The sequence below is a fragment of the Homo sapiens genome, chromosome 19 (assembly GCF_000001405.40).
Source record: "Homo sapiens chromosome 19, GRCh38.p14 Primary Assembly".
Classification (NCBI taxonomy): Eukaryota; Metazoa; Chordata; class Mammalia; order Primates; family Hominidae; genus Homo; species Homo sapiens.
Window position 1 is genome coordinate 13,289,489 of NC_000019.10, and position 24,634 is coordinate 13,314,122.

Here is a 24,634-nt window from a genome sequence, read left to right on the forward strand (position 1 = left end):
GCTTAACCTCTCTGAGCCTTAGTTCCCACATTTTAAAATTTGGGATAACAGGAGTAGAACCTTCCCCATATCCTGGAGACTGAAGCAATGATCCTGGACCTTCTTTACCACATAATCTCCAGTGAGTTACTTAGCCTCAGTTCCTGACCCATAACATGCGGGCCGTAACCTCATTGAGTCTGGCTCTGAGAACTAAGTATGTTAATGAGCTGAGAGTCACCGAGGATTATTCTCAGGCCTTGAAACCTAATGGGATTTGTCTTGCTGGATTTAGCACTTGCTTAGGACTGGTGACCTCTTTATCCCTTCCAATTTCTCCCTTTTGCAATGGGAACGTCTATCCTATGCCTGTCCCGCTGTTATATTCTGGAAACATACAAAGATCACTTGTTCTGTAGTTTCTATATTATATATATAACATATATATTATATATATTTATCTTATCTATCTTATTTTTTGAGATGGAGTCTTGCTCTGTCACCCAGGCTGAAGTGTAATGCACGATCTCGGCTCACTGCAACCTCTGCCTCCCAGGTTCAAGTGATTCTCCTGCCTCAGCCTCCAGAGTAGCTGGGACTACAGGCCTGTGCCACCACACCCGGCTAATTTTTTTTTTTTTTTCTGTAGTTTTAGTAGAGACAGGATTTTGCCATGTTGGCCAGGCTAAAACTCCTGGCTTCAAGAGATCCATTGGCCTTGGCCTCCCAAAGTGTTAGGATTACAGGCGTGAGCCACCATTTCTGGCCTAAATGAGGTAAATTCTAAACCAATATTTCCTCAACATCTTGGACAGTCCACAAAGAAATCCCTAATTCTAACCTGCTTGTGATGCTTTTTGAGAAGTTGTGTATCATGAAAACCTGGCTGAGAGTATTTTCTCATCATCTGTAATGTGTGTGTGTGTCTGTGTGTGTCTGTGTGTGTATAATAATAATAATATATTTTTAAGAGACAGGGTCTTGCTCTGTTGCCCAGGCTGAAGTGCAGTGGTATGACCATAGCTCACTGCAACTTTTAACTCCTGGGCTCAAGCGATCTTCCCACCCTGGGTAGCTGGGATTGCAGGCACACACTGCCATGCCTGGTTATTTTTATTAATTTTTGTAGAGACAGGGTCTCACTATGTTGTTCAGGCTGGTATTGAACTCCTGGGGCTCAAGAGATCCACCTGCCTTGGCCGCCCAAAGTGCTGGGATTACAGGTGTGAGCCACCACGCCTGGCCCTGTGTATGTATATGTGTATATATGTGTATATATATACATACACATATATATACACATTTCAGAGAGTGATATCCCTGCCATAAAGCAGGCCCAGTTAAGTTATAATTTCAAAGAGAACCTAAATCCTTTGGCCACCAGCTCAAGAAGCCATGGAGAAACTCGTGGCGGCATTTTCTTAGAGGAATACCATCTACCAAGAGCAGATGGAAAAGGGTCTGCCAATGTGTTTTGTCTTGTTTTTGCTTCCTTGTAGAGCGTCTGTTGGCTCTGTTTGTTGGGAAATTTTAACAAGCTCAGCCTGCAGAGGCCTAATATCAATTTCCGGGAGGTTTCATTTCCAAAGTGTCTCCAAGGAGAACTCAAAAGGGGCAGAAAACTTTGAAGCTGCACCCCTACCCCCTTCTCCCTGGGGATCTGGCATCCTCTGCCTGGAATAGGTGGCCAGTTGCATAACACCTGCTGTGCGTGGCGTTCTTGTGCCAGCTGATCACTTGGGCATCCTTCTGCAGAGGGCTGTGGACACCTTGCCTGGGGCACACTCAGACCCTGAGATCGGATTATGTGGGGGTGATAATAACAGCAGTTCCTGTTTATTGCTTATCTCGTGTCCCCACCCCCTGTCCTAAGGACCTCACGTATTAACTCATTTAATCCCTGCAACTACCACCATCCGAGATGGGTATAGTGATCAGCCCCATTTCACACAGGAGGAGACTGAGGTTCAGAGAGGCAAAGTTACCCAGAGTTACCCAGCTGGAAAACAGCTGAGCTGGGCTCTCTGGTGTTCAAAGCTTTAATGGGGCAGCTTGGTACAGTGGCTTACGCCTGTAATCCTAGCACTTTGGGAGGCTGAGGAAGGAAGATCGCTTGAGCCCAGGAGTTTGAGATCAGTCTGGGGAACATAGTGAGACCCCATCTCTAAAAAAAAAAAAAAAAAAAAAAAATTAGCTGGGCGTAGTTGCACGAGACTGTTGTTCCAGTTACTTGGGAGGCTGAGGTGGGAAGATCATTTGAGTCCAGGAGTTTGAGGCTACAGTGAGCTATGATTGTGCCACTGCACTCCAGCCTGGGTAACAGAGCAAGACTGTTTTTTTTTAAAAAAACCAACTTGGGCCCATTGGGGGTACCGTAAGAATTAGAGTGCTAAGTAATTAACCACTCCCTACCCCCATGCAGGATAAACTGTGGAGCTCAAAAGTCCAGCATCTCTCTTCCTGTTCCTTTTGGGGAGCAGGTTGTCATGGTGACAGATGCAGGTGGAATTAGGATGCGAACAGCAGAGATAAGAATTCTAGAGTGGAGCAGGTCTTGGCAAAAGTTCCCTTTGCAAGCAGATAGGCCTGGGAGAAGGCACTGCCTGGTTGCAAGGGAGAGGCAGAAGCTCTGTCCTCCATAGATTTTTACTGACAGTCTGGGAAAGTTCCACCCTCATTTTGTCCACCCTGCAGGGCCACTGGGCTCGGCCACCTGGTATGGGGGATCTGGGGCCAGCAGCCATTGAATTATATGAAATAGAATGTGCGTCAGTCCACTTTTCACTGGAGTGAGCCACTGAAAGACAGATGAAGGTAGGAATGAGGAGAAGACAAAGTGAATAAAAAGGAAAAAAATATGATCGGCCTGGCAAGGTAGCTCGCTCCTGTAATCCCAGCACTTTGGGAGGCTGAGGTGGGAGGATCGCTTGAACCCAGGAGTTGGAGACCAGCCTTGGCAATGTGGCAAAACCCTGTGTCTACAAAAAATACAAAAGATTAGCTAGGCATGGTCATGCACACCTGTAGTCCCAGCTGCTCGGGAGGCTGAGGTGGGAGAATCACCTGAGCTCAGGAAGTCAAGGCTGCAGTGAGCCATGATTGTACCACTGTACTCCGGGGCCTGGATGACAAAGCGAGACCATGTCTCAAAAAAAAAAAATTATCAATATGCTGGAGAATGAAAAACACAGGGTACGTTTGCAAAAAGCCTCAAGGAATGACTGAAGAAGAGGAAAAATGTACAAGGCAGACCTCCGAAGGCCACTGGCTTTGTCACAACAGAGAACGAAAATGTCTTTTTATTATTTTATATTCTCAAATAAAGTTTTATCTTTGCCACTTTTTTTAAAGCAGATGAATGACTGATCTTGAATTTTTTTCTCTTAAAGTGCATGAATCTTCATGAACTTTTATTTCCAAAGAGCCTTAGAACCTCTTTATCAGCCAAATGAATAATGTCTCTCCCGGCCAGATTGTTTGATGTGTCTATTAATAATGGAATTAGCAGTACTCCCCTGGTTCAGAATGGGGGTCTGGCCAGCTGAGGCTATGGGGGTGAAAGTGGGGAGATAGTTTCTTCCTCTGAAGAAGAGAGGGAGCAGGAACCATCTGTGGGATTTGGGCAAGCTGGGTCCTTATTGCTTTTTATGTTTATTGATGAGAGTATTACTAACAGTATTAGCTGACACTTCCTGAGTGCTTACTATTACTGCTAAAAATAGCATTCATTGAGTACTTAATAATATTCATATTAATAATAGCTAACATGGCCAGGCATGGTGTCTCATGTCTGTAAATCCAGCACTTTGGGAGGCCAAAGTGGGAGAATTTCTTGAGGCCAGGAGTTTGACACCAGCCTGGGCAACATAGTGAGACCCCAAAATGCTACAAAAAATTGCTAACATTTATTGAGCTCTTGGTATAAGCCAGGAACCACTCAAAGCATTTTACACGTACTAACTCAGTTAAATCTTTTTTTTTTTTTTTTTTTTTTTTGAGATGGAGTCTCGCTCTGTCTCCCCGGCTGGAGTGCAGTGGTGCGATCTCGGCTCACTGCAAGCTCCGCCTCCCGGGTTTTACACCATTCTCCTACCTCAGCCTCCCGAGTAGCTGGGACTACAGGCGTGCACCACCTACGCCCGGCTAATTTTTTTTTTTTTTGGTATTTTTAGTAGAGATGGGGTTTCACCATATTAGCCAGGATGGTCTTGAACTCATGACCTTGTGATCCGCTCACCTCGGCCTCCCAAAGTGCTGGGATTACAGGCATGAGCCACCGCGCCCGGCTCAGTTAAATCTTATACCCAGAGAAGGAGGTAGCTACTATTCTTATCTTCATTTTATAGATGAGGAAATGGAGGCCCAGAGAGGAGTGAAATTCTGAAAGTCACACAGCCTGGAAGTGATAGGGCAGGAATGTGACTGCCTGCCCCAAAGTCCTTGCCTTTCACAACCAGGCTTTGCTGCTCTTGTAGTTTCCAATGTTTACTGTTGTCTTTCAAAAACTCTTCCTGGCATATTGTTAGGGAGAGACATTTTGTCCCTGTCACTCTGCCTCCTTCAATAACAGTAGATCTGTTAATAAGGCTGATAATAACAGTAATATTAGTAATAATAGCAAGAGTAATTAATAATCATTGGTCTTTCTTTTTTTTTTAGACATGAGGTCTTGCTCATCTCTAAAATGAGCAATGCTACTGCAATCCAACCTGGGCAACAGAGCAAGACCCTGCCTCAAAAAAAAAAAAAAAACAAACAAAACCCTAAATAAACCAACAAACTAAAGGCACAGATAATTATAAGCAAGATTTTTCACCTGTGTGAGGAGCACTAGAAAGTCATGAAGAGGAAAGGATAATTCTTTTCCATATGAGACTGTCTTGTACATGGTAGGGTATTTAGTATACTGGCCTCCCATTCTCTAAATGCTCAGGCTGGTCTCGAACTCCTGGGCTCAAGCAATCCTTTGCCTCAGCCTCCTGAGTAGCTGGGATTACAGGTGCATACCACTGTACCTGGCTTTTTTTTTTTTTTTTTTTTTTTGAGACAGAGTCTTGTTCTGTTGCCCAGGCTGGAGTGCAGTGGTGTGATCTCAGCTCACTGTAACCTCTGCCTCGCAGGACAATTCTTGTGCCTCAGCCTCCTGAGTAGCTGGGATTATAGGCGTCCACCACCACGCCTGGCTAATTTTTTGTATTTTTAGTAGAGACAGGGTTTTGCCATGTTGGCCAAGCTGGTTCTGAACCCCTGACCTCAGGTGATCCACCTGTCTCTGCCTCCCAAAGTGCTGGGATTACAGGCGTGAACCATCACACTGGCCTGTACCTGGCTCTTCATTGGTCTTTACTATACAGAGAGTGCTGTGGTAAACACTTTATTCCACCTAAACTCCCGTTTTGATCTCTCATTCCCCTGAGTGACTGACAGCCCCAGAGTCTCATCAATGCACCTTCAATTTCTTTGTCACTTTCTCGTCACTAGTCATGTCCTGCAAACTGGCCTCCTTCTGGTCCACCCCAGGGCCTTTGCACATGCTGTTGTTAGACTGAAACACTCTACTCCCTTCTCAGATTGCTCCTCTGGAAACCTGCCCTGAGACCCTGGGAGCAGTTTCTTGGTCGTATTTCTCAGAATGTCTCAGACCACTTCACTTGCAGTTGTGTGACTGAACTCACAGCATGAGCTTAGAATATAGTAGGCACTTAGTAAATACTAACTGAATGAATGCATAAACCCATAGGAGAAGATTGAAGCGAAAGAATGACCTAGAACAATGGTTTTCAGAAAACTGTTGTAGAACTACGTGGAAACCTAATAACATAATGATTGAGGGGCACTGCAGGCACTTAGAGAATGGTAGGCAGTTATACTAAATACCCTACCATGTACATGACAGTCCCATATGGGAAAGACTTATCTTTTCCTCTTCATGACTTTCTAATGTCCCTCAAAGAGGTGAAAAATCTTGCTTGTAATTACCTGTGCTTTTAGTTTGCTTGTTTGTTTGGGTTTTTTCTTTCTTTCTTTCTTTTTTTTTTTTTTGAGACAAGGACTTGTTCTGTTGCCCAGGTTGGAATGCAATGGCATAATCATAGCTCACTGTAATCTTGAACTCCTGGGCTCAAGCAATCCTCCTGCTTCAGCCTTCCAAGTAGCTAGAACTACAGGCACCTGCCGCCACACCTGGCTAATTAAAAAACTTCTTTTGTAGAGATCGAGGTCTCCTTATGTCGCCCAGGTTGGTCTCGAACTCCTGGCCTCAAGCGATTCTCCTTCCTCAGCCTCCCAATGCACTGGGATTACAGGTGGGAGCCACTGCACCTGATCCTGTGCTTTTAGTTTAAACCTAACTCTTTTACATAAGAACACAACATATTTTTTGTATGTTTTTAATATACATTGCATTTTCCTGCAATGCAACTATTAAATAAATGGAAGAAAGACTAGACTCTTTTGTATATGGAACTTTGCCAAGAGGTGTTCAACATTGTGGAACATCTTGACACTGCTGGCAACTCCCCTCATGTGGTTTGAATTGTCCACACAACCCAGAGTTAGCCATCATTTGTGCCTGTCACTTCATGGTGATTTTGTGTATGGTGTACATATCAGAATTACTTCACTATGTCCTCCAGAGTCTCATTACTCAAAATGTGGTCCCTGGACCAGTAGTATCAGCCTCATCTGGGAGCTCGTTGCAAATGCAGAATCTCAGGCTCCACTGAGTCCTTAGCCCTACGGAATTACAATTTGTGTTTTAACAAGATCCCTGGGGATTCACATACACATTAGATTTTGAGAAGTGCTGGCCTACCTCATATGTCATACAACAGGATCACTTAAACCCATCATTAAAAAAATCAATATTATGCCCTGATGGTAATATAAAAGAGGACTAAGAGCAGGTTAATTTGTAATAGGACAATGTCTACGATGTCTATTTTAATGGGTAAGTTGTTGAGTCCCTATATGCAGAATCACTATAGCATCTGCTAGAAAGTATTACAAAATGTCGTTATGAAAAAGAGGATGCTGGTTCTGAATGGATAAGTTGCTGGCCTGGAAGATGCCTCAAAAGCTTTCTAACATTTTTATTTATTTTTAAAAGGTGAGGTCTCACTATGTTGCGCAGGCTGGTCTTGAACTCCGGGGCTCAAGTGGATCCTCCCACCTTGGCCTCCCAAAGTGCTGGGACTACAGGCATGAGCCACCACATCCCGCTGCATCCAAAGCTTTGAAACTCTGCTCTCCCTTCAATTCTAACGGCCCAAAGTGCCTTTTCTTTTTCTTTATTTTTTATTTTATTTTTTGAGACAAAGCCTTGCTCTGTCGCCCAGGCTGAAGTGCAGTGGTGCAATCATAGCTCATCATAGCCTAGACATCCTGGGCTCCAGTGACCCTCCTGCCTCAGCCTCCCAAGTAGTTGGGACTGCAGGTGCATGCCACCACATCTGTTTAATTTTTTATATTTTATAGAGATGGGGTCTGCCTCTATTGCCCAGACTGGTCTCCAACTCCTGGTATCAAGTGATCCTCCCACCTTGGCCTCCCAACAGAGTGGCTTTTCAAACTTCCAAAGAATAGCATTAGGTAAATAGAGTTGGCTGAAAATGGCCAAAAATGCTCTAAATTTACCGAGCACTTATTATGTGTCAGCTGCTCTTCCAGGCCCTTTGCATACATTACCTCATTCAATCCTGGCAATGACCCAATTAGATCCCACTATTTCCATTGTGTGAGGCCCAGAGATATGAAGTCACTTTGCAAAAGTCACACAGCAAGAACACAGAAGACTATATAATTCTGGACGACAGTGGGGCTTCTCTTAATAGTTTCCCTGAAATGCTCAAGGCCTCTGGTGCCAGAGAGCCTGGGTTCAAGGACACTGGTTAGAGGAATGACCTTGAGGAGCTCACTCAATCTCTCAGTTTCCCCATCTGTGAAGCCTCTAATCCGAACACTTTGGGAGACTGAGGTGGGATGATTGCTTGAGGCCAGGAGTTGGGGACCAGCCTGGGCAACAGAGCCAGGCCTCATTTCTACTAAAGGTAAAAAAATTAGGCTGAGTGTGGTGGCTCAACCCTGTAGTCCCAGCACTTTAGGGAGGCTAAGGCAGGCGGAATGCTTGAGTTCAGGAGTTTGAGACCAGCCTGGGAAACACAGTGAAACCCTGTCTCTACAAAACACTGTCTCTACAAAAATTAGCCAGGCATGTGGCACATGTCTGTGGTCCCAGCTACTTGTGAGGCTGAGGCGGATGGCTTGAGCCCGGGAGGTAGAGGCTGCACTGAGCTATGACTGCCACTGCACTCCAGCCTGGGCAACAGGCGAGACCCTGTGTCAAAAAAACAAAAACATACAGCATTTTTTTTTTTTTGAGACAGAGTCTTGCTCTGTTGCCCAGGCTGGAGTGTGATGGCACGATCTCAGCTCACTGCAACCTACCTCCACCTCCCAGGTTCAACTGATTCTCCCGCCTCAGCCTCCTGAGTAGTGGGAATACAGGTGGGCACCACCACTAATTTTTGTATTTTTAGTAGAGACGGGGTTTCACTATGTTGGCCAGCCTGTTCTCCAACTCCTGACCTCAAGTGATCCGCCCGCCTCGGCCTCTCAAAGTGCTGGGATTACAGGCATGAGCCACTGCTCCTGGCCAAATACAGCACTTTTTTTTTTTTTTTGAGACAGAGTCTCACTCTGTCGCCCAGGCTGGAGTGCGGTGGTGTGATCTCGGCTCATTGCAACCTCCGCCCCCTGTTTTCAGGCGATTCTCCTGCCTCAGCCTCCTGAGTAGCTGGGGCTACAGGCGCCTGCCACCGTGCCCGGCTAATTTTTGTATTTTTATTAGAGGTGGGGTTTCACCATCTTGGCCAGGCTGGTCTTGAACTCCTGACCTCGTGATCCATCCGCCTCGGCCTCCCAAAGTGCTGGGATTACAGGCGTGAGCCACTGCGCCTGGCCAAATACAGCATTTTATAATATATTTTTATAAACAAATACACAGCACGTGCTACTTTGGCTGTTGTCATTATTAATGTTACCGTCATTCTGCGGATTCGAGGTCACCTCCACTTACTTCCTCCTCCGATGCCTCCGCTCCTTGTCCTCCCTCCGCGCGTCCCCCTCGTACGTGGCTGGAGCGCCATGCCGGTGCCTTCTCCTGCGCTCGCCCCCGTCGGGGCCCTCGCCCTCGCCCTCGCCGCCCCGGGCCGGCCGGCTGCCCTCGCGGTGCCGCGCCCTCCGCTCCGCCTTGTCCTCCGGACCCTCCTCCCCGGGCCTGCGGTGCGCGCGATGACGTCGATGCTCCCCGTCCGCGCCCGTGCGCGGGGACCCGCTGCGGCTCTCCCTGCTGCCCCCCTGCCGGTGCACGTGCCTCCGGTGGGGGTCCCCGGCCTTGCCTCGCTCGGCCTCGCCCTCCCAGAACCCGGGTTGCTCCAGGCTGCCCTCCCGGGCGTGGTGGTCCGACTCGCGGCCGTAGGGTCCCTCCCGGCTCAGCTCGGCCTCCTGGCTTCCCGCCCAGGGCCTCCGTGCGTCCAGGCCCGCCGAGCCGCTGGGGTCCCGGGCCCGATCGTGGTAGCGGGCCTGTTTCCTGAGGAAGTCCTCGGCGCGCTGCTGGCCGAGGCGCTGGTCCACGGTGGGCTCGGCCGCCCGGCTCTTGTTGGTGTTGTTGTTGCGGTTCTCCTGCGGGTCCACCACCAGCGGCCGGTCCAAGTGCGTCTTCATGTCTGGCCGCAGGTGCCGCGTGTAGGCAGCCTTCCAGCGCTCGTCCGGGTCCATTTCGTTATACAGGGCCTCCCGGCTGGCCAGCAAGTTCTGCTTTCGCATCTCACTGGTCCGCTGCTCCCACACGGACTTGGCTGGCTTTTGATTCTTCTGTTGCTCTTTCCTGCAGTGGCATGGTCACAGGACTTAGAGCATTGCTAGGCACTGTAGCTTGGATGGATGACCCAGGCGAACCAACCCACATCTCAGCCTCCCACTCCTGCTCTCCACCCTCTACTCCCCACTGAATGCTAGGAGTCTGTGAGCATCTGAGTCAGGTCCCAGCCTCCTCTGCTCAAGAACCCTCCATGGCTCCCACCTGGCTAGGGGCAAAAGCCCAAGTCCTCCCCCCTGACCCAGAAGGCCCTGTGTAATCTGCTTGTCACCTCCTTGCCTTCACCTCCTCACACTTACTATTCGATTCTAGTCACACAGGCCTCCTTCACATCAGGCATGTTCCTGCCTCAGGGCCATTGCCTATGCTGTTCCCTCTGCCTGGGATGCCCTTCCCCAGGCCCCCCAGTGGCTCCTCCCTCACCTCCTTCAGGCCATGTAACCTTCTAGGTGAGCAGTCCCCAACCTTTTTGGCACCAGGGGCCAGTTTTGTGGAAGACAGTTTTTCCACAGACCTAGGTGTGGGGGGTGGTTTTGGGATGAAACTGTTTCACCTGAGATCATCAGGCATTCGATTCTTAAAAGGAGCACGCAACCTAGATCCCTCAGATGCACCGTTCACAATAGTGTTTGTGTTCCTATGAGAATCTAATGCTGCCTGCTGATCTGACGGCAGGTGGAGCTCAGGCGGTAATGCTTGCTTGCTCACTGTTCACCTCCTGCTGTGCAGCCCCGTTCCTAATAGGCCTCGGCCTGGTACCAGTCCACAGCCCCGGGACTGGGGACCCCTATTCTAGGTGATGCCTTCCCTGACAACTTCGTTTAAAATCACAACTCTCTTCACTCCCAGCATTTGCTATTTCCCTCCCCTACTTTCTCTGTAGTTCCATCGCCTTCTAACACAATATATAATTTACTTATTTATCTAATTTATTGACTCCTTCCCTTGCTAGAATGGCTACACACAGGTGGGATTTTTTTTTTCCTCCTTGTTAATGCTGTATCCCCAGAAGTTAGAACAGTGCTGGGTACATAACAGCTGCTAACCAAATATTTATTGAGTGAAAGTGGGTGGAAGGACAAGAAGTGTCTCTTCCTAAAGCTCAGTTCTGTCAAGGACCACCCCCACTGCTTCCCAAATCTGTGCCTGGGATAGTGTGGACGTTCAGGAGCCAGGGTAGCATCCCAGGGATTAGGGGCACTTACACAGCTATAGACATGTTGGCCGCGGACAGAGGACTCACTTCTGCCACCTCCTTGGCTTTCTGTAGGGCAAGTTTCTGGTTCGCTGCTTCTTCTTCCTCTTGCTCGTCCTAAAAGGCACGTGGAATCTTTGTTCACAAAACATGAACTAGGCCTTGGGGACTCACTTCTGACCCTGTTGCTGACCAGGGGCAACATTTGAAATATTTCGACCAATCAGAACCAAGGCTCCCCAATTGGAATGGGTACCTGCTATTGGTTAAGTGTATTGCTATCCCCTCTGTGTATAAGTTTGACATCTAACTCATTATGAAGCCTATTTTAACACACAGCCAGATAACAAAAAATAAAAATGTCCCTTCTCTTCCTACAATGAAGACTTTCCTGCAGCCTATTTTTTTTTCTTTTGTTTGTTTTCAGAGACAGAGTCTCCCTTGGTTGCCCAGCCTGGAGTGCAGTGGCACAATCATAGCTCACTGTAACCTTGAACTCCTGGGCTCAAGCAATCCTCCCACCTCAGCCTCCCAAGCAACTGGGACTACAGGTGCATGCCACTATGCCTGTATACATTTAATTTTTTTTTTTTTTTTGTAGAGACAGGGTCTCACTATGTTGCCCAGGCTGGTCTTGAACTTCTGGCCTCAAATGATCCTCCCATTTCGGCCTCCCAAAGTGCTGGGATTCCAGGCATGTGCCACCATGCCTGGCCCCTGCATCCTGTCTTAATGAGCTGGAAAGCAGTGCAAAGATTTTCCTCTCACTAGGCTTTCTGAGCCATGTGAACTCTCTGAACCAACTTTCAAAAAACACCAACTACCCTCACACACAGAAGAGCCTGGCATCCGATGGCCCCTGCCATGCACTGTCAACAGCCCCCAGAAGGAGAATGAGGAGAGGAATTTATATTCCCAGCCCCCATGACAGGAAGGCGGTGGGGAGAGGAGAGCAGGGCACTTGGGCTACAGCCAACTGCCCAGGGTGCTGCTGCTCACTGGTGGTTAGGTTCAGAGAGGAGGAGAATGGGGGAAGAGGTTTTAAAAATACATACAGAAAAAGACGTTTTTGGACTTTAAATCCTTCTTCAGCCTTCATGCAGGGCCTCATTCGTAAAACAGAAAAGCCAACAAAGAAAAAGCAAAGAAAAGGCAACGAGAAAGAAATGGCCAGAAATGAACCCGCCCATAAGAAAAGTCATGCCATTGCAGGCAGCTCTCCCGCTGTGCTCCGAATCACTGGAACGGGGAGCAACCTTACCACCTTGGAAATGGTCAGATCAGGACACTGTCAGAGACAACATGGAGATGGGATCTGGCTGGCCACCCTGCTCTCATAGGGCCACCCCCACCCCTCCTGGCACCATTCCCAGCATTTTTCAGAGCTAGGTCTCTGGACCATCTGCCTCAGAAACACCTAAAATGCAGATCCTCAGGCTCCCCAAATAATCTATAGAACCAGTGCTGGGCCCTGGAATCTGCATTTCCCACAGGTTCCCAAGTGAGCATAAAACATGCCCAAATTCAAGCAACTGGTACACAGCAGTTAAGAGCACAAGCTGCAGACCCAGACGGCCTGGGTTCAAATCCCAGCTCCACAACTTACTGCTGTGTGGCCTTGGGCAAGTCTCTCAACCTCTCTGTGCGACACACATCTCATCTAAAATTCCAACTCTCCCTGACTTTCCCTACTGAATTTTTCTCTGTTGTGTTTATCACCAACTGACAAGCTACGTATGTTTACAAATTTATCTTGTTTCTTGTCTGTCTCCCCTCTTGAATCCCTGCTCCACGGAGGCAGGGATTTTTGCCTTTTTTTGTTCACTGCTTAATCCCTAAGTCCTAGACCAGGGCCTTGGTCACACAGTAGGTGCTCATTAAGTGCTTACTGAATGATGAAATCTGTAAAATGGGGCTCAGAGAACTTGGCTCCTAAGGTTTCCATGAGGACTGAATAGGATTAAAAACACGTATTAAATGACCAAGAAATGCTTGTAGGATCAATGAAAGAAAGAATGTGGATCTGGAGAGGAATGTCCACACCTCCCAGGAGATAAACGAACTGGCCTTTCTCCCTCCCCTTCTGCTACCCTCCTGCACCAGCCCCTAAGGATGGACTCTTGGAACTTGGATGAGCTCATGGCTGGATCAGCCCTCGGCTCAGCCATGCCAGCCAGCTCCACAGTGGCCAGGCTTGTGGCCGTGTGCTTGGGATGGCAGAGACTTCCGCTTCCCTCCACTGGGAGCTGGGGCCGGGAAACTCTCTCTCCCTCCTGCCAGGGCCGGCAGATGGAGCGTTGGCAACGTCTGCTTGGTTTGGTTCAATTTCACAAACATGTCCTGAATACCTCGAGGCACTGGAGGTGGGGCTGCAATGCTGAGGGAGACCCCAGGGCTGAGAGGAAGACCCTGTACCTGTTACATGTAATCTTAACTTAATAGGGTCCTTGGGGAGAGGCTTAGGCTGGACGGAGGCTAGCTCTTAACATGCTGCGTTTGGCTAAGGGGAGGCTCCAGCGGGAAGCCAGAGGAAGAGAGAAGGTGGGGACATTTATTGGCCACTCCATCTGTGCCTTGCCATGGTTCTGGGTTCTCTAAGGTCCCAGGGCTGGTGGCAGCCCTTTTTCCTTGGCCCCAGCTCTGACTGGGTCCCCATAACAGCACTCCCTCTCCCATCCACTAGCCTGGGGGCTACACCATTCCTTGGAAACCCTGCTTACTCCCTGTAAACGGCCTTTTGGTTGAGTTTGCCATCCGTTTCCTGCAGCGACCTCACTGCCTTCCCCCTTCCCACCCTCTTGGCTGTAGAATTTGCTTGATGAGGGACAGTCTGTTTCTGGGAGTGGGGGGAGAGGCGCCTTCTCTTTGCATGGTGCATCCCCGGCAAAAGTTCTAACCCTGTTCCCATGCCCCCACCCCCACCCCCACCCCCACCCCCACCCCCGTCCTGATCTGCCATGGGCAGGTGGTAACTTTGCCAGAGAAACATTCTCCCACCGCCTCCACCTTGGTGAGCTCCTGGGCGTTGGCCAGATTGTCCACAGCGATGGCCAAGAACACATTCAGGAGGGTGTCTGCAAATGTCTGAGTCAGGAAAAGCAACCACTGGTGGGACACCACTTGGGCCCTGGGTATCTGGGTCTCTCAGTACCCTCCCTTGAGCCCCTGCAACCTCTCCTCTGCCAGAGGTCCAGGCCTGTCCCCTTCTCTCTCTCCATGAAGGATACAGTTCCCAAAGAGCGTCAGTACAATGAAATAGATGGAGAACACCATGCCGCCCTGCACGCCCCCCTGAGACTTGATCCCGTCGTACATGACCTCGTTCCAGTCTTCGCCCGTCAGGATCTGAAAGGGGAGGAAGAAACACACAGCCAACCCCCCTCTCAGCCACGGGCCCCTTGGAGATGCAGCTGTGGAGCCGGAATCCGCCCACCCCATCCCCGAGCCCAGGAGGTCTTTAACAATCCTGCCCGGTTTGCAGAGCCAGACTCCGTGTTGGCTTCTCCTTGGCTTTTCTCTTTGTTTGCGAGTAGAAAGGGCCGTTCCTGCGTCGTGGGGCTCTTAGCCTGGCTTCTAGGAAAATGGGACCCTGGAGGAGTCACAGACCCTCCTGTAACTCTGTCTTACTTGATGTGATTAAGGGGATTTGTTATGGACTAAATTGTGCCCGCCTCCAAATTCATGAGTTGAAGCCCTAACCTATGATGGGATGGTATTTGGAGATGGGGCCTTTAAGAGGTAACTAGGGTTAGATGAGGTCATGGGGGACTTCATGATGGTATTAGTGCCCTTATAAGAACAGGAAGAGACCGCATGCCATGGCTCATGCCTGTAATCCCAGCACTTTGGGAGGCCAAGGTGGGAGGATCACTTGAGCCCAGGAGTTCAAGATTAGCCTGGGCAATATAGCAAGACCCCATCTTTACAAAAAATTTAAAAAAATTAGCTGGTGCCCATCTGTAGTCCCAGCTACTCAAGGGGCTGAGGTGGGAGGATCGTTTGAACCTAGGAGTTTGAGGCTGCAGTGAGCTATGATTGTGCCACTGCACTCCAGGCTGGGTGACAAAAAAATGTGATTTGCCTAAAAAAAAAATAGATTTTTTTTTGAGATTTTTGTCTCAAAAAAAAAAAAAAAAAAAGAACAGGAAGAAACATCACAACTCTCTCTCTCTCTCTTTGACATATGAGGACACAGCAAGAAGGTGGCTATCTGCAAGCTAGGAAGAGGGCCCTCACCAGGAACTAACTAACCCTGCTAACACTTTGATCTTGGACTTCCCGGCCTCCAGAACTATGAGAGAATAAATGTTTCCTGTATAAGCCACCCAGTGTGTGGTATTTTGTTATGGCTGCCTGAGCAGACTAAGACAGGATTTTAATATTTACCTGTGTTCCTCATGTGGTCATGGTGATGATTAAACAAGCTACTACGTGGATAGCACAAATGTAGCACAAGGACACGTTTGGGGTCCCCCTGCCTGAGGCAGACCCTGGAACAAGGGTTCGGGTGCAAGTGGTTTGTCTGGGAGGTGATCTCAGGAAGCACCAGTAGGGGAGAGGAGAAGTGAGAAAAGGGAAAAGAGGGTGGAACGTAAACAGTATGTGATCAAGCGAGTTTCCACTGTAGGTAACCGGGGCTTGGTCTTGCTGGGGAGCTCTAGGGGTCATCCCACCTGAGGGTGAGGGAGCTGGGGTATTTATCCACCAACGGCTGCTCCTTTTAAGGTGTGGCACAAAAAATTCACAGTACTGCTGGACTGCAGTTCCTTGGGGGCAGAGCAGGGGACCAGAGAAAGACCAAGGCAAAGGATTAGGTGTTGACAGACGCAAGTTGTGCTGATGCATACTGAAAGAACCAAGGGGATATTCAAACAGCACCTACATGCTCCTTTAAAAAAGATCCAACTTCCTTCCTTCTATCCATATCCCCATGAGGATAAAGTAAATGTTAAAGAACTCCAAAAACATGAATCTGCTAAAACAGGGTTTCTAAGCCTCAGCACTGCTGATATTTGGGGCCAGATTATTCTATTTGGGGCTGTCCTGTGCATTGTAGGATATTGAGCAGCATTCCTAGTCTCCACCCACCAGATGCCAGTAGCACCCTCTCCCTAGCTGTGACAACCAACAATGCTTGCAGACATTGCTACATGTCCTTGGAGGACAGACTTGTCCTTGGGTGAGAACCTCTGAGCTAAAGATACATGACTAGCGATCAGTGCTATTAATAATCGCTTATGGGCCAGGTGTGGTGGCTCATGCCTGTAATCCCAGCACTTTGGGAGGCCGAGGCAGGCAGATCACGAGGCCAGGAGTTCGAGACCAGCCTGGCCAACATAGTGAAACCCTGTCTCTACTAAAAATACAAAAATTAGCCAGGCATGGTAGTATGCACCTGTAGTCTCAGCTACTCGGGAGGCTGAGGCAGGAGAATCGCTTGAACCCAGGAGGCAGAGGTTGTAGTGAGCCAAGAACGTGCCGTCGCACTCCAGCCTGGGCAACAGAGCGAGACTCCATCTCAAAAAAAAAAAAAAAATCGCTTATGTGGGGGCTCAGAACTTCCCTTCATGGAAGGTTTCCTCTTCAACTCCCTGTCTTGGGGTCTCATTTAGAAACTACCTCCCCAGGAGAAGGAGAGAGTGAAGTCACATTTTCTATACACTCTCAGTCCCTCAAAGAGAAAGAATCCACCAAAGATGCTCTGAAGGTCCCGGCTGGGCCAGTCCCAAGCCTCAGGGAATGCGCCCACATGGGTGCAGAAGTTGCTTTGGGTTGATCACCCTGGAATATGAGACCAAGGTATCTTCAGATTTGATGGGTGTATTAGCCATTTTTTTTCTCTGCCTTTTTTTTAAGAGACAGGGCCTTGCTCTGTGGTGCAGGCTGGAGCTCACGGCAGCCTTGAACTCCTGGGCTCAAGCAATCCTCCCGCCTTGGTCTCCCAAAGTGCTGAGATTACAGGCATGAACCACCTCATTGGCCTGGCCACGCATTTTATTTTCTTTATTCTGATGCATCTGGGGTCTTGCTGACTCTGGAGGGACTGCCCGGTCCAGCACTAGCCAGTCCCTAGAGGTAGTAAACAATTTAGCCCTGAGCAGGCTTTTTAAAAGCAAACCAAACAATATCCCAACCAGCCCATATCCCAACCACCTCCTTTATCTTCCCAGCACTATCCACCTGCCCTAATCACCCCAAGGCCAGGTCCTAGACAAGTAGGAACAGCTCCTCTGCCCCAGAGCCCACTGAAATGATCCAAACTAGCCAGTCTCGAGCTGTTTACTCTGCCTCACCCATTCCGTCCCATGGAAACCACAATCAAGCCTCTTGCCCACATTTTCCTTCTCTTCCTGCTTGACCCTGTTGCTTCTCTGCTTGGTCCTGCATGGTGTGCTCCTTCTCTGAGGATCTGTGAGTATAACAAACTTTCTTTTCGTTTTTGAGACAGGGCTTTGCTCTCTCGCCCAGGCTGGAGTATAGTGGTGTGATTGTAGCTTACTGCAGCCTCAACCTCCTGGGCTCAAGCAATCCTTCCACTTCAGCTGCCCTAGTAGCTAGGAGGTATGTATCACCATGCCCAGCTAATTATTATTATTATTTTTTTGCAGAGACGGAGTCTCACTATGTTGCCCAGACTTGTCTCAAACTCCTGGCCTCAAGTAGTCCTCCCATCTTGACCTCCCAAAGTGGTTTTTTTTTTCTTTTTCTTTTTTGAGATGGAGTCTCACTCTGTTGCCCAGGCTGGAGTGCAGTGGCGCGATCTTGGCTCACTGCAACCTCTGCCTCCCAGGTTCAAGCAATTCTTGTGCCTCATCTCCCGAGTAGCTGGGATTACAGGCATGTGCTACCACGCCCGGCTAATTTTTGTATTTTTAGTAGAGATGGGGTTTCACCATGTTGGCCAGGCTGGTCTCGAATTCCTGATCTCAAGTGATCCGCCCACCTGGGCTTCCCAAAGCGTTGGGATTACAGGTGTGAGCCACCGTACCTGGCCAAAGTGCTGGGATTATGGGTGTGAGCCACCGTGCCCAGCCACAAACTATCTTTCCAATGACATTCATCTCCTGATCTGTTGGCCTCACCATAATTGAATAATGATAACCATAAAATCTGTGTTTCAAAGTGGTGTGAAAAGGCCAGGTAGAGAAGGAGGAGTTCAGGGAAGCCCCTTGGATGTGGAGCAGGCACTTTCATCTGTGACACTGAGAGGTGTTGGCCCGTGGGGCCAGGTGGAGGCTGTACCTGAAACACCGTCATTATTGCTGCTGGAAAAGTATCGAAGTTGGTGGGAGGAGTCCCTTCATCGAAATTAAACCTGCAGGGAGGACACAGACATTTCACGTTGGCCCCACCCGGGGTGCTCTGAGGGTGTGGCTCAGTATCTCATCTCCAAGGAAACGAACGTCTCCATCATCTCTGTCCCCAGGAAACCCTGAGTGGTACCCAGGGCCCTGCCCATTTGGGTGACCGCAATGGGTGTCTGGGCTACGAGGAAGGCAGCCTGCACGGTGGAGGGGACTGTGTGTTCCCTGAGCCTGACCCCAGGGAACCAGGAGTTGGAATTCCTGTGAAGGACTTACTGGCCGCCGAAGAGTTGCATTCCCAAAAGGGCGAAGACGACAATGAACAGGAAAAGGAGAAACAACAGGCTGATGATGGACTTCATGGAGTTGAGGAGAGAGACGACCAGGTTTCTGAGAGATGCCCAGTACCTGCCGACAGAGGCCAGGCGAGGACTCAGGCCAGGCGGGGGAGGCAGGGCCCCGGAGTCAGCCCTCGAAACACGAGGCTCACTTTCCCAACTTTCTGGAGGCGGCCCCACCATGTCCCCCATCCCCACCCCCTGTACAAATGTCCAGGAACCCCAAAGACTTACTTTGTGACTTTGAAAATACGCAATAACCTGAGGGCTCGTAACACGCTGATTCCAAAGGATGTGCCAGGTTTTATGACAGCCCAGATGACCTCGAAGATGCTCCCAATGATAACCTAGGGCAGAGAACCTGGTCTCATGTCCAGGGACAGTGTCTGGGCTCCAGAACTGGCAAGCATTTCCTAGGTACCAACCTTGCAAGAACTCAACCAAACTCCTCCCTCCAAATGGAAGCCGGGTGAGGATCCTTGACCCCCTCATTCATCCATTCATTTATCTATAGAGACCGGGTCTCACTGTGTCACCCAGGCTGGAGTGCAGTGGCGCAATCATAGCTCACTGCAGCACTGTCCTCCTGGGCTTAAGTGATCCTCCCACCTCAGCCTCTTGAGTAGCTGGGATTACAGGTGTGCCCCACCACATCTGGCTAATTTTAAAACATTTTTATAGAGATAGTGTCTCGCTAGTATTGCCCAGGCTGGCCTCAAACTTCTGGGCTGAAGCCATCCTCCTGCTTTGGTCTCTCCAACTGTTGGCCTCCACTTTCCAAAGCATTGAGCCACTGCACCCGGCCTCTTATTTATTTATTTATTTTTATTTATTCATTTATTTTGAGATGGAGTCTTGCTCTTATCACCCAGGCTGGTGTGCAGTGGCGCGATCTCAGCTTACTGCAACCTCCGCCTCCCAGGTTCAAGCGATTCTCCTGCCTCAGCCTCCCAAGTAACTGGGATTACAGGCACCCGCCACCACGCCCGGCTAATTTTTTGTATTTTTAGTAGAGACGGGGTTTCACTGTGTTGGCCAGGCTAGTCTCGAACTCCTGACCTCGTGATCCGCCTGCCTCGGCCTCCCAAAGTGCTGGGATTACAGGCGTGAGCCACCACACCTGGCCTCTTTTTTATTTATTAAGAGCTCCCACAGGCCTGAGAATTCCTGAAACACATAATTACAAAGTGAATGTCATGCAACTACTACCTATGTCAACAATTAGGAGAAGGCTAGGGCAGTGGCTCATGCCTGTAATTCTGGAACTTTGGGAGGCCGAGGTGGGCAGATCACTTGAGCCCAGGAGTTCAAGACCAGCCTGGGTAACACAGGGAAACCCTGACTTTACAAAAAAAAAAAAAATTAGTCAAGCATGGTGGCATGTGCCTATAGTCCCAGCTACTTAGGAGGCTGAGGAGGGAGGATAGCTTGAGCCTAGGAATTTGAGACAGGAGAGGGTCATGATCCTGCCACTGCACTCTAGCCTGGGCAACAGAGCAAGACCCTATCTCAAATAAAATAAAAAATAAAATAAAATAAAAAGGGACATGTGGATACCCTGGAAGTTTCCAGAGACACTGTGATATAACTACCATCCTGAATTTTGTAATAACCATTTTCTTACCTTAAAAAAAACTGAGGTGAAATTCACATAACATAAAATTCACACTTTGAATTACACAATTCAGTGCCTTTAGGTACATGCACAATATTCTGCAACTATCACCTCTATCAAGTTCCAAAACATTTTCATCACCCCCAAAGGAGGCCCTGTCCCCATGAGCAGTTACTCCCCACTCTCCCTCACCCAGACCCTAGCAACCACTAATCTACTTTCTGTCTCTATGGATTTGCCTGCTCTGGACATTTCATACAAATGGAATTATGCAATACTTGACCTTTTGTGTTTGGTTTCTTTTACCGAGCGTTGTGTTTTCAAGGTCCTCGCCTTTTTAACGTATTCAAGTATCATCCTTAAAAAATACAGTTTAAGGCGGGGCGTGGTGGCTCACGCTTGTAATCCCAGCACTTTGGGAGGCCAGGGCAGGTGGATCACCTGAGATCAGGATTTCGAGACCAGCCTGGGCAAATTGCTGAATCCCGGTCTCTACAAAAAATACAAAATTAGCCGGGGGTGGTGGTGCATGCCTCTAATCCCAGCTACTTGGGAGGCTGAGGCGGGAGAATGGCTTGAACCCGGGAGGTGGAGGTTGTAGTGAGCCAAGATTGCGCCACTGCACTCCAGCCTGGGCAATAGAGTGAGACTCTGTCTCAAAAAAAAAAAAAAAAAAAAAAAAAAAAAAAAAAAATATATATATATATATATATATATGTAGAGAGAGAGAGAGAGTTTAATTTTGTCCACTTGAACTTTGCATGAACTGTATGGACTTACGTTGCTAGCTCCTGCCTCCTTCTGTGCCATGTTACATGGGTGAGATTCATTCCTGTTGTTGGGCATGTGGCTGCTGTTGGTGGACTTTGATTGTCACAGAGTATTTCATTATATAGATATGCCACAAAATATTTATCTGTTCTACAGCAAAGGGATACACGGATATTGAGACTTGGAACTATTACAAACAAGGTTGCTCAGGACATTTTAAAATTTTTCTTTTTTTTTTTTTGAGACGGAGTCTCATTCTGTCACCCAGGCTGGAGTGCAGTGGTGCAATCTCAGCTTACTGCAACCTCTGCCTCCCCAGTTCAAGTGATTCTCCTTCCTCAGCCTCCCAAGTAGCTGGGATTACAGGCATGTGCCACGACGCCTGGCTAATTTTTGTATTTTTTTAGTATAGACGGGGTTTCGCCATGTTGGCCAGGCTGGTCTTGAACTCCTGACTTCAGGTGATCCACCTGCCTCCGCCTCTCAAAGTGCTGGGATTATAGGTGTGAGCCACTGTGCCTGGCCTACTTTTATTTCTTAGAGATGGGGTCTCACTCTCTTGTCCAGGCTGGAGGGCAGTGGTGTGATCATAGCTCACTGCAGCCTCAAACTGCTGGGCTCAAGCAATCCTCCCACCTTAGCCTTCTGAGTAGCTGGGGCTACAGGTGTGCACCACCACACCTGGCTAATTATTATTAATTTTTGTAGAGACAGGGTCTTGCTATGTTGCCTGGGCTGGTTTTCAACTCCTGGGCTCAAGCAATTCTGCTGCCTCAGCCTCCTGAATAGCTGAGGCTATAGGCATGAGGCATCACACCCGGCTTTCTTTTCTTTTTAATGGAAAGAAATTGGTTTTATTCTTTAACTACTTGGGTCATTTATGTAGGGAAGGTTTGCTTGTTTGTATGTATTTTGTTTTCTCCAACAACATAATTTTCTATAATGGCAGAAAACAGTACAACATTCAGTTATTATAAATTATTAAGCTGGCTGGGTGTGGTGGCTCACGCCTGTAATCCCAGCACTTTGGGAGGCCAAGGCGGGTGGATCACGAGGTCAGGAGATCAAGACCATCCTGGCTAACACGGTGAAACCCCATCTCTACTAAAAATACAAAAAATTAGCCAGGTATGATGGCGGGCACCTGTAGTCCCAGCTACTCGGGAGGCTGAGGCAGGAGAATGGAGTGAACCTGGGAGGCGGAGCTTGCAGTGAGCCGAGATGGCGCCACCGCACTCCAGCCTGGGTGACAGAACGAGACTCCATCTCAAAAACAAAAAATAAAAACAAAAAATAAAAAAAAATAAATAAATTATTAAGCCTTTCTGAGACCAACAGGACTATGGTAAATGATTAGGGCTGCCCTGGGCCAGGCATTCTCCACTTATTTGCGAACAACCTTAATTTCACTTCCAGCTGCAGGGACATTCTGGCCTGTGTCTCCTAGGTATCTGGGTGAGATTTTCTAGGATGAATTCCTAGCAATGGAATGCTGGGTCATATCTCCATCTTGTAGTTTTTGCCCTGGTTCGATGAGAAGGATTGGACGTAGATTATTCTCCAGGACTTAGGTTTTGTGTGGACTAGTGGGTTACTGGGTGTTAATCACATTTAAAAAATAAATTAATTAACTGAGTAATTCACAAAATAACAAAGGACCATAATGGCTCCATAATGCCAGGGTGTTGTAATCTAACAATTATACTTCATCTACCTCCACATGACTGAGCTACAAAGGAAAAGAAGAAATAGAAATCATATTGATGTCCTGTTTGTAATCCTGAAGTTGGGTACTTAGTTGGAGCGACACAGGCAACCCACCTAAGGCATGGCTTTTCTCCCAACTTGGAAAACTTGTCTTATGTCCCCCACTTAGCTTTCCAAAGGGGGTCTATACGTTTTCCTCCCACTGGCGGTGGTTGAGGGTTCTGGGTACACTGTATCCTTGCCAGTGTTTGGGATTGTTTTCTCATTCCTTCTGCATCCATCTGAGTCTCTCATATTCAGGGGTGACTTTACCTTTCTCCCTTTAATGTGTCCAGGTATCTGTCATTCCAGGCAAGAGCTGGAGAAATGAACTCTTAGAAACAAGAGCACTTACCCCACAGTCAAAGCAGTTGAAGGAAGAGTGGAAGTAAGGCCGCGTCCCAAGCCCGTACATTTTTATAAACATTTCGGACATAAAGAGTCCTAAGAAAATGAATTCTGCATAGTCTAGAAGGGAGAAGGAGGAAACAGAGAGGAGGTTAGGCTTGCTGAGGGTAGGGGTTCCAGGTGGCTCTGACTTTCCTTTTATTATCATTTTTAAACTTTTTATTTTTTGTAGAGATGAGGTCTTGCTATGCTGTTAGGCTGGTTTCAAACTCCTGGCCTCAAACAGTTTCCCTGATTTGGCCTCCAACATGCTAGAACTACAGGCATGTGTCACCACACCCAACTTCTGACTTATCTTTTTTCTTTTTAAAATTTTTATGTGGAGATGGGGGTCTCACTATGTTGCCCTGGCTGGTCTTGAACTCCTGGCCTCAAGTGATCCTCCCAGCACAGCCTCCCAAAGTGCTGGGATTATATACATGACCCACTGTGGCCACGCCCTGTCCAAGGTGTCCTTCCCATGGGCCTCAGTTTCCCCTCTGTTAAAAAGGAAGAGCTGGCTGGGCATGGTGGCTCACGTCTGTAATCCCAGCACTTTGGGAGGCCTAGGCGGTCAGATCAACTGAGGTCAGGAGTTTGAGACCAGCCTGGCTAACATGGCAAACCCCGCCTCTACTAAAAATACAAAAATTAGCCAGTGTGGTGACACATGCCTGTAAACCCAGCTACTTGGGAGGCTGAGGCATGAGAATCACTTAAACCTGGGAGGTGGAGGTTGCAGTGAGCCAAGATTGGGCCACCCTACTGTAGCCTGGGTGACAGAGCAAGACCTTGTCTAAAAAAAAAAAAAAAAAAAAAAAGCAACAATTATGCCCTACCCTCCAACCAACAAGCTAACCAACCTTAGGCCGATTTTAAAAGGAATGAGAAAAATATCAGTGGGTCTCCATCTTGTAGTTTTTGCCCTGGTTCGATGAGAAGGATCGGATATAGATTATTGCCAAGGACTTTTGTGTTGACTGGTGGGTTCCTGGGTGTTTATCACATTTAAAAAATAAACTAATTAACTGAATAATTCACATAATAACAATGGACCATAACGGCCCCATAATGCCAGGGTGCTGTGATCTAACAATTATATTTAATCTACTTCTACGTGACTGAGCTCCAAAGGATAAAAGGAAATAGAAATCATAATGATATCCTATTTGTAATCCTGAAGTTAAGTACTTAGTTGGAGCGACACAGGCAACCCACCTAAGGTATGGCTTTTCTCCTAACTCAGAAAACTTGTCTTATGTCCCCTAGAAATCCTGTGTTGTGAGTGACCTAAAAAGTCTTGAGTAAGACAAAGCCTTTTGTTCTTTGATGAGCAAGCATAAAATTGCAAATGCCTCAGGGAGGGGTAAAACATGGATATGCATTTGCTCCAGCAAATAAATGGCTGACATCAGATCCTTT

The 24,634-nt window shown here is 48.2% G+C and overlaps 1 protein-coding gene across 5 annotated transcripts in view; it reads right to left on the reverse strand.

Moving 5' to 3' along the window:
- Positions 1-24,634, reverse strand: part of CACNA1A (calcium voltage-gated channel subunit alpha1 A) — a 300,038-nt gene that overhangs the window by 83,047 nt on the left and 192,357 nt on the right. For 3 of the 5 annotated variants that reach the window (NM_001127222.2, NM_001127221.2, NM_001174080.2), the window contains exons 12-19: positions 23,181-23,293; positions 18,928-19,040; positions 18,632-18,763; positions 18,294-18,366; positions 14,279-14,396; positions 14,058-14,125; positions 11,062-11,168; positions 9,056-9,865 (exon numbers count right to left, since the gene is read on the reverse strand). In NM_001127222.2, the coding sequence (NP_001120694.1) occupies positions 9,056-9,865; positions 11,062-11,168; positions 14,058-14,125; positions 14,279-14,396; positions 18,294-18,366; positions 18,632-18,763; positions 18,928-19,040; positions 23,181-23,293 (1,534 nt within the window). Of the gene's footprint in view, positions 1-9,055; positions 9,866-11,061; positions 11,169-14,048; positions 14,126-14,278; positions 14,397-18,293; positions 18,367-18,631; positions 18,764-18,927; positions 19,041-23,180; positions 23,294-24,634 lie in introns of all 5 variants that reach the window. The other 2 variants (NM_000068.4, NM_023035.3) reach the window with 1 other exon arrangement.